The 13,911-nt window shown below is 38.8% G+C and overlaps 1 protein-coding gene and 1 long non-coding RNA gene across 9 annotated transcripts in view; one reads left to right on the forward strand and one right to left on the reverse strand.

Moving 5' to 3' along the window:
- ASTN2 (astrotactin 2) overlaps positions 1 to 13,911 on the reverse strand; it is a 991,946-nt gene that overhangs the window by 187,539 nt on the left and 790,496 nt on the right. For 7 of the 8 annotated variants that reach the window (NM_014010.5, NM_001365069.1, NM_001365068.1 and 4 more), the window contains 2 exons: positions 9,660 to 9,793; positions 7,674 to 7,822 (listed from right to left, as the gene is read on the reverse strand). In NM_014010.5, coding sequence (NP_054729.3) covers positions 7,674 to 7,822; positions 9,660 to 9,793 — 283 coding nt within the window. Of the gene's footprint in view, positions 1 to 193; positions 2,956 to 7,673; positions 7,823 to 9,659; positions 9,794 to 13,911 lie in introns of those variants that run through there. The other variant, NM_001184735.1, reaches the window with a different exon arrangement.
- The window catches only part of LOC105376240 (uncharacterized), a 46,451-nt gene that overhangs the window by 12,804 nt on the left and 19,736 nt on the right, over positions 1 to 13,911 (forward strand). The gene's annotated exons all lie outside the window — the stretch shown is intronic.

Here is a 13,911-nt window from a genome sequence, read left to right on the forward strand (position 1 = left end):
CTAATCAAAAGAAAGCTGGAGTACTTAGACAAAGTAGATTTCAGAACAGAATGTAACAGAAATATGCAAGGTCATTTCACAATATAAAGGGATCCATTCATCAAGAGAATATGAAAATTCTAAATGTTTATGAACTTAAATAACAATAACTTCAAAATATATAAAATAAAACATGATAAAACTGCAGAAGAAATAAGTCCATAATCAGAGGTTTTAATACCCCTCTCTCAAATATTGATACAAGAAGACAGAAAATCAGAAAGGCTCCAGAAGACTTGAATAACATAATTAACCGATTTTATCTAACAGGCATTTATAAAATACCCATAAATAAGTGGATACACATTATTTTAAAGTGAACACTGAATACAGCAATAGACCATCTAGACCAAAAACTAGTCTCAATAAATTTAAAATGTTTAAAGTCATAAAAACATATTTTCTGACTATAGCGGAATCAAAAATCAACAACAAAAATTTCTGAAAAAACTCCCAAATATTTGAAAACGAAGTGGCATGCCTCTAAATAACTCATAAGTCAAAGAAGAAAACAAAAGTGAAATTGGAAATACTTTGAACTGAATGAAAATGAAAACGCAACATAACACAATCTTTGAGATACTACTAAAGCAGTAGTTAAGAGGGAATGACTACATTACAAGAAAGGTCTCAAATCAATAGCCTCAGCTACCATTTCAAAAATTAAAATGCGGAGAAAACCAAACTCAAAGTAAGCCAAACAAAGAAAATTATAATAAAAATTAGAGGATAAATCAATGAAATAGGAAACAATAAGCAAAAACAGATAAAACCGAAAGTTGATTCTTTGAAAATACAAATAAATGTCATAGCTATCTAGCCAAACTGATCTAGAAAAAAAACAGAGGAGACACACATTACCAATATCAAGATGAGACTAATATCACTATAATCTCAACAGATTTCAAAAGAATAGTAACGGAATGTCATAAACAACTTTTTCCAATAAATTTGATAATTTACATGGAATGAACAAGTTCCTTAAAACACACAAGCTGCCAAAGATCACTCAAGAAGAAACAGATAATCTAAGTAAATCTATATCTATTAAATAACTAAATTAGTAGTTAAAAACCTTCTTGCAAGAAAAGGTCTAAGCCCAGATGCCTTCACTGGTGAATTCTAAAAAATGATTAAGAAAAAAATACTATCAATTTTAACCACAGTGATTCTCTGAGAAGACAGATACACTTCAGAAAACTGAAAAGGAGAAAATATTTTATAATTCATTTTGTGAGACCAGAATGATCCTAATTAAAACAAACAGATAAAACAACCTACACATTCCTGGGATAAATCTCACATAGTAGGTTGTTTTATAATATGAAAATCTATCAATGTGACTTATCATATTAACAAATTTAGAGAGATAAACTATACAATCATTTTAATAGACACAGAAAATTCAACATCTGTTTCCAATGGAAACAAAACAGAGCCTTTGCAGCAGACTAGAAATAGAAGATACCTTCTTCGAGCTAACTATCCTAAATATATATGCACCCAATATAGGAGCACCCAGATTCATAAAGCAAGTCCTTAGAGACTTACAAAGAGACTTAGACTCCCACACAATAATAATGGGAGACTTTAACACCCCACTGTCAACATTAGATAGATCAATGAGACAGAAAGTTAACAAGGATATCCAGGAATTGAACTCAGCTCTGCACCAAGCGGACCTAATAGACATCTACAGAACTATCCACCCCAATCAACAGAATATACATTCTTCTCAGCACCACATCGCAGTTATTCCAAAATTGATCACACAGTGGGAAGTAAAGCACTCCTCAGCAAATGTAAAAGAAAGAAATTATAACAAACTGTCTCTCAGAACACAGTGCAATCAAACTAGAACTCAGGATTAAGAAACTCACTCAAAACCGCTCAACTACATGGAAACTGAACAACTTGCTCCTGAATGACTACTGGGTACATAACGAAATGAAAGCGGAAATAAAGATGTTCTTTGAAACCAATGAGAACAGGACACAACATACCAGAATCTCTGGGACACATTTAAAGCAGTGTGTAGAGGGAGATTTATAGCACTAAATGCCCACAGGAGAAAGCAAGAAAGATCTGAAACTGACACCCTAACATCATAATTAAAAGAACTAGAGAAGCAAGAGCAAACACACAAAAGCTAGCAGAAGGCAAGAAATAACTAAGATGAGAGCAGAACTGAAGGAGATAGAGACAAAAAAAAAAAAACCCTTCAAAAAATCAATGAATCCAGGAGCTGGTTTTTTGAAAAAATCAACAAAATTGATAGACTACTAGCAAGACTCATAAAGAATAAAAGAGAGAAGAATCAAATAGACGCAATAAAAAATGATAAAGGGGATATCACCACCGATCCCACAGAAATACAAACTACCATTAGAGAATACTATAAACACCTCTATGCAAATAAACTAGAAAATCTAGAAGAAATGGATAAATTCCTGGACACATACAGCCTCCTCCCAAGACTAAACCAGGAAGAAGTTGAATCCCTGAATAGACCAATAACAGGTTCTGAAATTGAGGCCATAATTAATAGCCTACTAACCAAAATAAGTCCAGGACCAGATGGATTCACAGCCGAATTCTACCAGAGGTACAAAGATGAGCTGGTACCATTCCTTCTGAAACTATTCAAATCAATAGAAAAAGAGGGAATCCTCCCTAATTCATTTTATGAGGCCAACATCATCCTGATACCAAAGCCTGGCAGAGACACAACAAAAAAAGAGAATTTTAGACCAATATCCCTGATGAACATCGATGCAAAAATCTTCAATAAAATATTGGCAAACCAAATCCAGCAGCACATCAAAAAGCTTATCCACCACAATCAAGTTGGCTTCATCCCTGGGATGCAAGGCTGGTTCAATATCCGCAAATCAATAAATGTAATCCAGCAATAAACTGAAACAAAGACAAAAAACACATGATTATCTCAATAGCTGCAGAAAAGGCCTTGGACAAAATTCAACAGTGCTTCATGCTCAAAACTCTCAATAAACTAGGTACTGATGGGACGTATCTCAAAATAATAAGAGCTATTTATGACAAACCCACAACCAATATCATACTGAATGGGCAAAAACTGGAAGCATTCTCTTTGAAAACTGGCACAAGACAGGGATGCCCTCTCTCACCACTCCTATTCAACATAGTGTTGGAAGTTCTGGCCAGGGCAATCAGAGAGGAGAAAGAAATAAAGGGTATTCAATTAGGAAAAGAGGAAGTCAAATTGTCCCTGTTTGCAGATGACATGATTGTATATTTAGAAAACCCCATCGTCTCAGCACAAAATCTTCTCAAGCTGATAAGCAACTTCAGCAAAGTCTCAGGATACAAAATCAATCTGCAAAAATCACAAGCATTCCTATACACCAATAACAGACAGAGAGCCAAATCATGAGTGAACTCCCATTCACAATTGCTTCAAAGAGAATAAAATACCTAGGAATCCAACTTACAAGGGATGTGAAGGACCTCTTCACGAAGAACTACAAACCACTGCTCAACAAAATAAAAGAGGACACAAACAAATGGAAGAACATTCCATGCTCATGGATAGGAAGAATCAATATTGTGAAAATTGCCATGCTGCCAAAGATAATTTATAGATTCAGTGCCATCCCCAGCAAGCTACCAATGACTTTCTTCACAGAATTGGAAAAAACTACTTTAAAGTTCATATGGAACCAAAAAAGAGCCCACATTGCCAAGACAATCCTAAGTAAAAAGAACAAAGCTGGAGGCATCACACTACCTGACTTCAAACTATACTAAAAGGCTACAGTAACCAAAACGGCATGGTACTGGTACCAAAACAGAGTTATAGACCAATGGAACACAATAGAGCCCCCGGAAACAATACCACACATCTATAACCATCTGATCTTTGACAAATCTGACAAAAACAAGAAATGGGGAAAGGATTCCCTATTTAATAAATGGTGCTGGGAAAACTGGCTAGCCATATGTAGAAAGCTGAAACTGGATCCCTTCCTTACATCTTATACAAAAATTAATTAAGGATGGATTAAAGACTTAAATGTTAGACCTAAAACCATAAAAACCCTAGAAGAAAACCTAGGCAATACCATTCAGGCCATAGGCATGGGCAAGGATTTCATGACTAAAGCACCAAAAGCAATGGCAACACAAGCCAAAATTGACAAATGGGATCTAATTAAACTAAAGAGCTTCTGCACAACAAAAGAAACTACCAGCAGAGTGAACAGGCAACCTACAGAATGGGAGAAAATTTTTGCAATCTACTCATGTGACAATAGGCTAATATCCAGAATCTACAAAGAACTTAAACAAATTTAGAAGAAAAAAATCAAACAAACACATCAAAAAGTGGGCAAAGGATATGAACAGACACTTCTCAAAAGAAGACATTTATGCAGCCAACAGACACATGAAAAAATGCTCATCATCACTGGCCATCAGAGAAACACAAATCAAAACCACAATGAGATACCATCTCACACCAGTTAGAATGGCAATCATTAAAAAGTCAGAAAACAACAGGTGCTGGAGAGGATGTGGAGAAATAGGAAGACTTTTACACTGTTGGTGGGAACGTAAACTAGTTGAACCATTGTGGAAGACAGTGTGGCGATTCCTCAAGGATCTAGAACTAGAAATACCATTTGACCCAGCCATCCCATTACTGGGTATATACCCAAAGGATTATAAATCATGCTGCTATAAAGACACGTGCACACGTATGTTTATTGTGGCACTATTCACAATAGCAAAGACTTGGAACCAACCCAAATGTCCAACAATGATAGACTGGATTAAGAAAATGTGGCACATATACACCATGAAATACTATGCAGCCATGAAAAAGGATGAGTTCATGTCCTTTGTAGGGACATGGATGAAGCTGGAAACCATCATTCTCAGCAAACTATCACAAGGACAGAAAACCAAACACCGCATGTTCTCACTCATAGGTGGGAATTGAACAATGAGAACACTTGGACATAGGGTGGGGAACATCACACACCAGGGCCTGTCATGGGGTGGGGGCAGGGGGGACGGATAGCATTAGGAGATATACCTAATGTAAATGATGAGTTAATGGGTACAGCACACCAACATGGCACATGTATACATATGTAAAAAACCTGCACGTTGTACACATGTACCCTAGAACTTAAAGTATAATAAAAAAAATAAAAAATGAAGATACCTTCTTCGATGTAATCAAACACTACATTAAAAAACAACAACAACATACAATTAGCATCATACTTAATGGTGAAAGACTAAATGCCTGAGATTAGAAAAACAGGCAAAGATGTCTGCTCTTACCACTTCTGTTCAATATAGTACTAAAATTCCTAGCTAGAACAATTAGACAAGTAATACATAAATAAATAAACGTCATCAAAATTGGAAAGAAAGAAATATAATTGTCTCTGTATGCAGATGACATGATCATGCATACAGAAAACTTTAGGAAGAACTGAGCTTTCTAACAGTGGAGGCATGTAATCAGTGCATGTTGAAGTGTTAAAGAGAAAGCAAGACTAGGTGATCTCCTAAGATCCTTCCAATGCTGAAATTTTTCTGCTGATATAGAAGAGGTACTCCAAGGCAAGGAATGGAGTATGCCAAATAAACAGTAGAGAGAATGAGTGAGTGCACTATGTTGAGAGAGAGAAGACTTTCTGCTGAAAGGGTCAAGCACCCTAGTGGAAGAAGCAACACTTGAGTTTCAATGTAAACTCTACATAGTCTATAAGAACAAGCACTGTGCTGGGCATAAGACAGACCTGGTTACAAAGCCTGGCTCTGTCATACGTGTTTATGGGACTTCAGGAAAGTCACATACGTCTTTGGGATTTACTTACTTTATCTGTAGAACAAAGTTCATGATCATTCTTAAGTTACATTGTTTTTTATTTGTTTGTTTTAATTCTGAGAAGAACGGCACCCTATGGAGATGTGATAGAGATGTGAAGCGTTATTGTTAAAGTGTAAACCCACTGTTGGAGGACTTTCATTTCCCTTGGTTATCTGTGGTTTACAAACCTCTGCTATTATAAAACAGCACTCCAGAAGGACAAAGACACACACACACACACACACACACAAAATACACACCCACCCATTCACAGACAGTGGTAAATCTCACCCACATAAAAATAACGTACATACAGATAAATACAAACACACAGACACTTCAGTTTGCCTATGCATATTCAGATACACAGTCTTGCGCAAACACATATGCACTCCATACAGAGTCAAAAGTCAGAATTAACAAAGTTTGAAAGATGAGGCAAAATCAGCTGCCCAGTTACTGTTCCATGACCTGTCCCTCTGTGAAAGTGATGTCCACTCCAGTCTGTTCTGTCTCTTTCAGTCAATAATGTGGAAAAAGCCACATTAATCCCAGGAAACCTATTAGCAGCCAACTTGACTTCTCATGTTGTCCATAATCTGGGCTTTTCTTTTTCTGACTTCTTTTACATTCACAGCCTCATTTTATCACTTTCTTCCCAATTTCAGAGGAAGCAAAGCAAAAATAGCCCAGAGAGGAATGGGAGAGGTGTAGGAGAGAGACAGGTAGAAGACAGGAAGACAGAAAAAGAAAAGGGAACAATAAAGGTCCTTTCATTCTTTTATTATTCATTCAGTCAACTCATATTTGAATGCCAGACTTTGTGATAGGTGTTGGAAATTTAACTATGACTAACACAGAGAAGGCATCTTTCCTCTTGGAGTTTATAATTTAATTGGGCAAATAATTATACTTCTTTAATTCTTTAAATAGCCAAGTCTTGGTTCAGGATTAAAATTATAAATTTGAGGCGATACCACAAGCTGAATAACCTTGGATTAATCTCAATGTTCTAATCTGTGAAATGGGCACAATAATCACTAACTCTCCTAAAATTGTGAGGATTAAGATGCTGAACAAAACATTTAGCTCCGTGCCTGGCACACAAAAAAACAGATGTCTAATTGATGTTTTCTAGCTGGAAAATAATTGCTGAATGGAAGTCTCAACAGAGAACAGAAAATGTAAGCCCCAGTACAGATCACAGGTGAACGCTTTGCTTCTTGGCAGTGTCAAAATTTAGAAGAACTCGGAAATAATGTTCTGAGTGATAATCAAAGGTATCCCTCTTAAAAGCCAACATTCTCAAATGCTCCTGCATGCTGGAATCACTTCCAATTATCTCTCTCCCAGCACTAGTTAATGAAGACTCCAAGTGTATCTCACTAGAAAGCCAATTGTGTGAATTTCCTTACCTCAGTTCCAGAGATAATATATTTACAGATCAAGCCCTTCAAGCATGAGTCCTGCAGGCCTTCCCAGATACAGAAAGGTCAAATTGTCTTCAGAATCAACTAGTTCTCTGACATAATATTTTGAAGGTCCAACTCAGAGAATCAGACACTCTTTCTAACTGCAACTTGCTATCTTTCCTTGATCAAATTCATACAAAACAGCACACAAGGATGGACAGCGAAAAATCACTAAACAATGAAATCTTCCAATGCCTTCCCAAGACAGATGAGACCAAGTCTCCAAAGACAGTAGAAAATCCCAGTTTCCCTCTTCTGTCATACTATCCCAAGAAAATGGGAACTCATGTACCTACCTGTGTACAGGTCAGTGTCTGTGTATTCATCCACTTTCTTATGCTGCAGAATATAGTCGGAGACCTTGGTCCCAATAGCTGGCTGAACATCCACCCACTCCAAGGAGACCACAGTACTGGAGGGCTCCACTGTTGGGGACAGCCGCAGCCTACAGGGAATAAAAAGGAAGATTCGTGTTTGGCAGCCAGCACCAGCTGGGGCCCAAAAGAATCCGCATGTGTCAAGATGAAGCATAGGTTTCAGTCTGAATTTAAATCTTGATTCCACCCATGATCGCCAACTTGCATGACCGTAGGCAAGTTATTTCCCCTCTCATGGCCTCTGTTTCTCATCCATAAAATAGGGAGACAAGGAGCCACCTTTCAAGATCAAAGTAGAATTTCATAAATTAATCCATGCACACAATATGTGCTCAATGGCAGTTTATCAGTTTTCCATATATTTATACTATATTCTCAACGATGCTTCACTTTCAATTAAATTGGCAGTGCCTTCAAACAAAGGAACTTTCCATTTTTCTGCCATTTTCTTTAATACAATGTACTAGCTAACTTTTTAATATCCTTAAGTAAATACACTATTGGAAGGAGCAAAAATCCTGGAGTAAATCTTTTTGCAAAGCAAGAAAAAAAAATAGAATGATTAAAGGTTAGAACTAGAATGGTCCTTAGAGATGATGAAGTTTAATTCCCTCATTTCACAAAAGGGGGAAAGGCTCAAAAAAAGGAAACAGTTTGCACAAGGTCACACAACAAGCTGAAGACAGGACCATGATGGTGATTTTGCTTATCCTTATCCCAGATTCCCTTTTTCCACGATACCACACTGTGTCTTCAAAGACCATCTTATAACATGATTCTTCTCACCCACAGAGTTCGATTATGGGACTTTGTTTTCCAGTATTGGTTCCTGCCCCCTCTTATGCTTGTCACACCACTTCTCCCTCTTAATCACATGCTTGCAACGACAATGACTTTCCTTTACTTCCTCAGATGGTGAATTTCCAGTGTCTGGCCCTTCGCATATGCTGTTCCTTCTGCCTGAGACATGAGTCTCACCACTTGTTGCCTGGCTGGCATCTACCCTATAGGTCTCTTCAGAGAGCTTTCCCAGACTATTCCCTCTTCCTTCCAACTAAAACATCTCCCCATTATTCTCCCTAATAGCACTTCTTTGTTTCTTTTTCACATTTTTCTTATTAAAAAAATGTTGTTGTTGAGACAGGGTCTCACTCTGTCACCAGGGCTGTAGTGCAGTGGTGAAAGCATGGATCACTGCAGCCTTGAATTCCTGGGCTCAAGAGATCCTACCACCTCAGCCTCCATAGTAGCTGGGACTACAGGCATGTGCCACCACACGGGCTATTTTTTTTTTTTTTTTTTTTTTTTGGAGAGACGAGGTCTCATTATGTTGCCCAAGCTGGTCTCAATTCCTGGCCTCAAGAGATCCTCCCACCTCACCTCCTAAAGTGCAGGGATTACAGGCATGAGCCATGGTGCTCAGCCCTTATTTAAACTTTTATACTGTATTTTCCTGTTTTTGTTTTGGCATCTATCTCCTCCACTAAATTGTCCGTTCCCTGAGTACATGGACTGTGCCAATCTTGTTTCGTAGAAGAGGTTCTCCAGTTTTTTTTTGTTCTGTTTTGTTTTAAATCTCAGTAGCCCCATTGCCCAACACAAGACCTGACAAAGTAGTCAGCTGCCTACAAGCTTTTGCTGAATGGTTGCCTGAAGGAAGAAATGATGAACTGAGTGGCATCATTTAAAACAAGCATGCACTGCAATATCAGTGTCTGCTCCTGTGCCACAATTCTGTTCTGCCAAAGCTCCCTTCTTTCCTAAAAAAGGAGGTAGATTCCAGGGTCTTTGAGGATCTTGTTAGGCACCTTGGGAGCAGAAGCAAGTCATGGCATGGGCTGGCAGGACAGGAGTGTGAGTCCACGAAAAGGGATGGCCAAAGGAAAAGGGGCCATACATACGTACACCGGCTGCAGAAGGGGGCTGCAGTTGGGGAGCCCATTGGCATCAAAGGCGCTGAGGTCACACCTGCACCAGTCATCGATCACATCCCCTTTCCCTGAGCACCAGTAGGAACTCATCAGTGCACTCTTGAAGGCCTGGACAAAAAAAGAGGACAGAATAGACAATGATGACAACAGGGGAGAGATTGAGAGTAAATGTGCTGATGGCCATGATGTGAGCCATCGAGGGCTTTAGAGTAGCCCCTTTAAGCACAAGACACCATCTATTCCCTAAGTTCCTTGCACTCTACTATCAGGGTCTCCCATCCTGAGCCATCCCCTCCCCAGGAGCCACAATGATCACTGAGAAACAATAGTAACTATATCCATTGATAGTGTCCCCTAGGCTTGGCACTCCACTTGTGTTAACTTATTTAATCTTCACAACAACCTCACACAATAGATATTATTATTATAATTTCCCATTTTACAAGTTGGAAAACTGAAGCACACAGAAAGTAAATAACTTGACTGAGGTTTACGATAGCGATAGAGCTAGGATACAACCCAAGGCAATCTGCCTCCAAAGCCTGTCTTCTTATTAAACACCTTGCTGCACTGCCTTTTATAGAAGTCTGACCATCTCATTGCCCAGCTTAAAAACCTTCAAAGGTTTCCCATAGTCTTCAGGATAAAATCTAAATGCCTTGTTCTCACCCCTGGCCACCTTTTCATCTCTCACCACTCTCCTGACCTTCTTTGCACAGTATCATCTGTTCTCATGCACCCACATCATTTCCACCAACAGTGAATTCCTGTTTATATAAAATGTGCTCTAAATCAGGAGCCAGAAAACAGTTTCTATAACGGGCCAGAGAGTAAATATTTTTGGCTTTGGGACAAGGTAGACTCTTCCACAATTACTTAACACTGCCTTTGTAGCATGAAAGTGGCATAGATGATACTTTACATGAATTGGCATGGTTGTGTTCCTATAAAACTTTATTTACCAAGTCAAGTAGCAGGCTAGATTAGGTCTGAGGGCCACAGTTTTCTGACCTTTGCTCTAAATGATAATCAATGTTCTATTTAATTGGAATGTGCTTCATAGTCTTTTTAAAACACATACACACACACACACACACACATGCACGCACACACACACACACACACACACATTCCATTCTATGCCTGGAATATTCCCCTCTCTGCACTCCAATTTACTCTTTGGGTCTCAAATAGGAAACATTCTCTTCTCTGGAAAGCCCACCCTAACTTTCTTAAGTCTAGAATCATGCTCCTCTTCTGGACACCATAACACATAGACCATACCTACCAACACATTTCCTTGCCTATCTCACCCATAAACACTGGTCCCACCAAGGGCAAGGGCCAGGCCTTATTCACATGAATATTCCTGTGGGACCTAGCACAGTTATTCAGTCAACAGTTTGTAAATAAATAAATGGACATTGAAAAATAGATCATTAATAGTTGGCAGTAAAGAGAACTTGGAAGGCACTTTTTTCAGTTTAGCACAGCACAGGAGTCAAGTTTTACCTTCTATTTTGTTCCCCTCCCTTGGGCTCTGATGTAGAAGATAACTTCAGTGTGTGCTTGATGCTAACACTGACATTTCAACGCACTGCACATTCTGAATGAATGACAGCTGTCTTTAAAACATGAGGATTTCAAAGAATGTTGATCTTTTATTCCTTTGTGCTTTGCCTGCTCTGCATGATGTTCCTATTTTTCATTTCTTTCATGTTTTTTACTTTTGATATGCTTTTAAATAAAAGTTGCACACCACTAAGGGCACATGATTACCAAGATGTCACTTTTTTCATTCTGCATTGTCTAAAAGACTCAAGTAGAACATGTTTGTATAAAGTCTGGGGTCTCCCTTCTGAGTGATCCAGAACACAGATCTAGAAGGAGACAGTGTCTATCAAGAGTGTTCCTGTGTAAGCTTCCATCACATTTCTCCTGGAAGTTGACAAAAAGTCTCCAATTATTCCTGCCACATGTTCTTATCCATATCTTCTCCTAGGGATGAATGAATGAATGATCAAATTTCACCTGAGTTAAGTGTCATGACCCAAAGAAATAAAAAATAATTATAATAAAAGCTAATGTTCATGAAAAACACTAAATGGCACAGCACATGGTACTGTAAGTGCATTAAAATGTAATCATCACAATAGTCCTGAGACACAGATATTACGATCCTCATTTATATATAAGAAAACTAGGAATCAGAGCAGTCGAGCAATTTTCCCAAGATCACACAGCAAGTAAATGGTGGAAACAGAATCCCAACCCAGATTTCTGTGACTCCCAAGGGCAGGTCTTTTCTGTTCAACAATTCTGAGCCATGGGATTAATCCCAAGTAGGGTTGCCAGATTCAGTAAATTAAAACACAAGGTGCTCAGTTAAATTCAAATTCCAGGCAACATTTTTGTAGTGTAAGTATATTTCATAAACTATTTGCATATAAAGTGTCTGGGCCAGGGTGTGTCACACAGTAAGAGCACTGTTCCTCCTAGGTGCCAGAACCTATGCTAAGAACAAATGTCTATTCTCTAGCCAGCACCAGAAGGAGGCACTCTCATGAGGACAGAAACCAGATGCGACTGCATGAGGTCATGCTGACTGTTAGACCTTTTCTCACTCCCTTTGCAGGTTCCCCCTTGGTAAAATTAATGTGCTTAACTACTGATGGCTTAAAATTCTGTAACATCTCCAGCCAACACTGAAGGCTTAATTAACATAACGGTGAAACCCAGGGCCATGGGTGAAAGTGACACAGATGGGAAGGTTGCACTGGACCCCAGCAATGGGAAGAGAGAGAGCATACTCTGTGTGTGTGTGTGTGTGTGTGTGTGTGTGTGTGTGTGTGTGTGTGTGTGTGTGTGTTTGGTTTTTGTAATAAATAGGAACTTGAGCTTGTGGAAAACAAAACAGGAAATCTCTCTGGACTTCATAAGTTTCACCATCCAGGCAGTTCTTGGGAAGAAATCCTGCCTGTAAGAATCCACATCCACTGGCTCTTTCCCAAAACCCCGAGGAACAGAATGGGGACTGGTGCAATGGCCAGGCAAACACTGGTTAGAACACAAACACACCCTGATAAAAGGCCAGCATCAAACAGGGAGTCCTCATAAGGCTGCAGAAGCCAGCACTGTGTCAATGCAGGATCACTCTTTCCTTACCTCTTCTGTCCTTGCAACACTCCATCCAGAGTCCAATTAGATCCCGGGGGAGGAAAATCATAGAATGTTCCAGCTTCACAGGACTCTGTAAATCATGTAACCTAATCCGTTTCACAGATGCAGATACAGTGACCCAGAGATGCTAGTTTGCTGGACCAAGGTGATAGAACAACTTCACGATGAAACTACTCTATCCCTCCGTTAAGTGCTCAAAATTACCCATTGAAATGGATGCTCAATACCCACTTACAGAAAAGCGTGCAGGAGCAGGGAGGGACTTGAACTAAAGCCCATTTGAATCCTTGTACCCTTGACCTTAGTAGGTCACACAGGAAGAATAAATGCCAAGATTTGATCCAAAATATCCTGTTCAGCCACTCTGCTTGGGTCATGTGCTTATGTGTGTGCATGTGTTGTTTGCATGCGTATGTGTCTCTGTGTGTTTGAGAGAAAATGAAACCTTATACTGGAGGCATTATTGCCTCCTAGTTTTTGAATAAGTAGAGGGACCTAAGAAACAAATTCTGTACTTAATGGCTACATTTGCATGGCCATTGGTTTTCATAACGAAGGTTTGCATTTCCATGACTTGTAAACGCTTCCAACTTCTGGCTAATTAGCTAGCAAACCAAGCTGGGCAACAGGAGAAAACAGCCACAAAAATATTAAGCAATCAAAAAAAACTAGGATGTATTTCTGACTCTCTTGTTACTTTCCTTTTTGAACTTGCATAAAAGATTCCTCGTTCTTAACCTCAATTTCCCTATCTCCAAATGAGGGGGTAGAAGATATGTTTTCTAAGGTTTAAGTTCAGTACACATTCACTGAACTTCCTACTTCATACCTTGTGCCTTCCAGAAACTAAGAAAGGGAATGAACAAGACCAAGTCACTAACTTCAAAGGATCCGTGGCTTATTAGCAAAGAGACACACACAAACAATTACAATTACTATAGTTCAAATGCTATGAAGTAATACACATAGAAGGCTATGAGAATACAGAAGGAAGGGGGCTCTTCTAGCTCTAAAACTATGACAATATCTTAGGAATTTTAAACTTT

This window comes from Homo sapiens, chromosome 9 (genome assembly GCF_000001405.40).
Source record: "Homo sapiens chromosome 9, GRCh38.p14 Primary Assembly".
NCBI classification, from domain to species: Eukaryota; Metazoa; Chordata; class Mammalia; order Primates; family Hominidae; genus Homo; species Homo sapiens.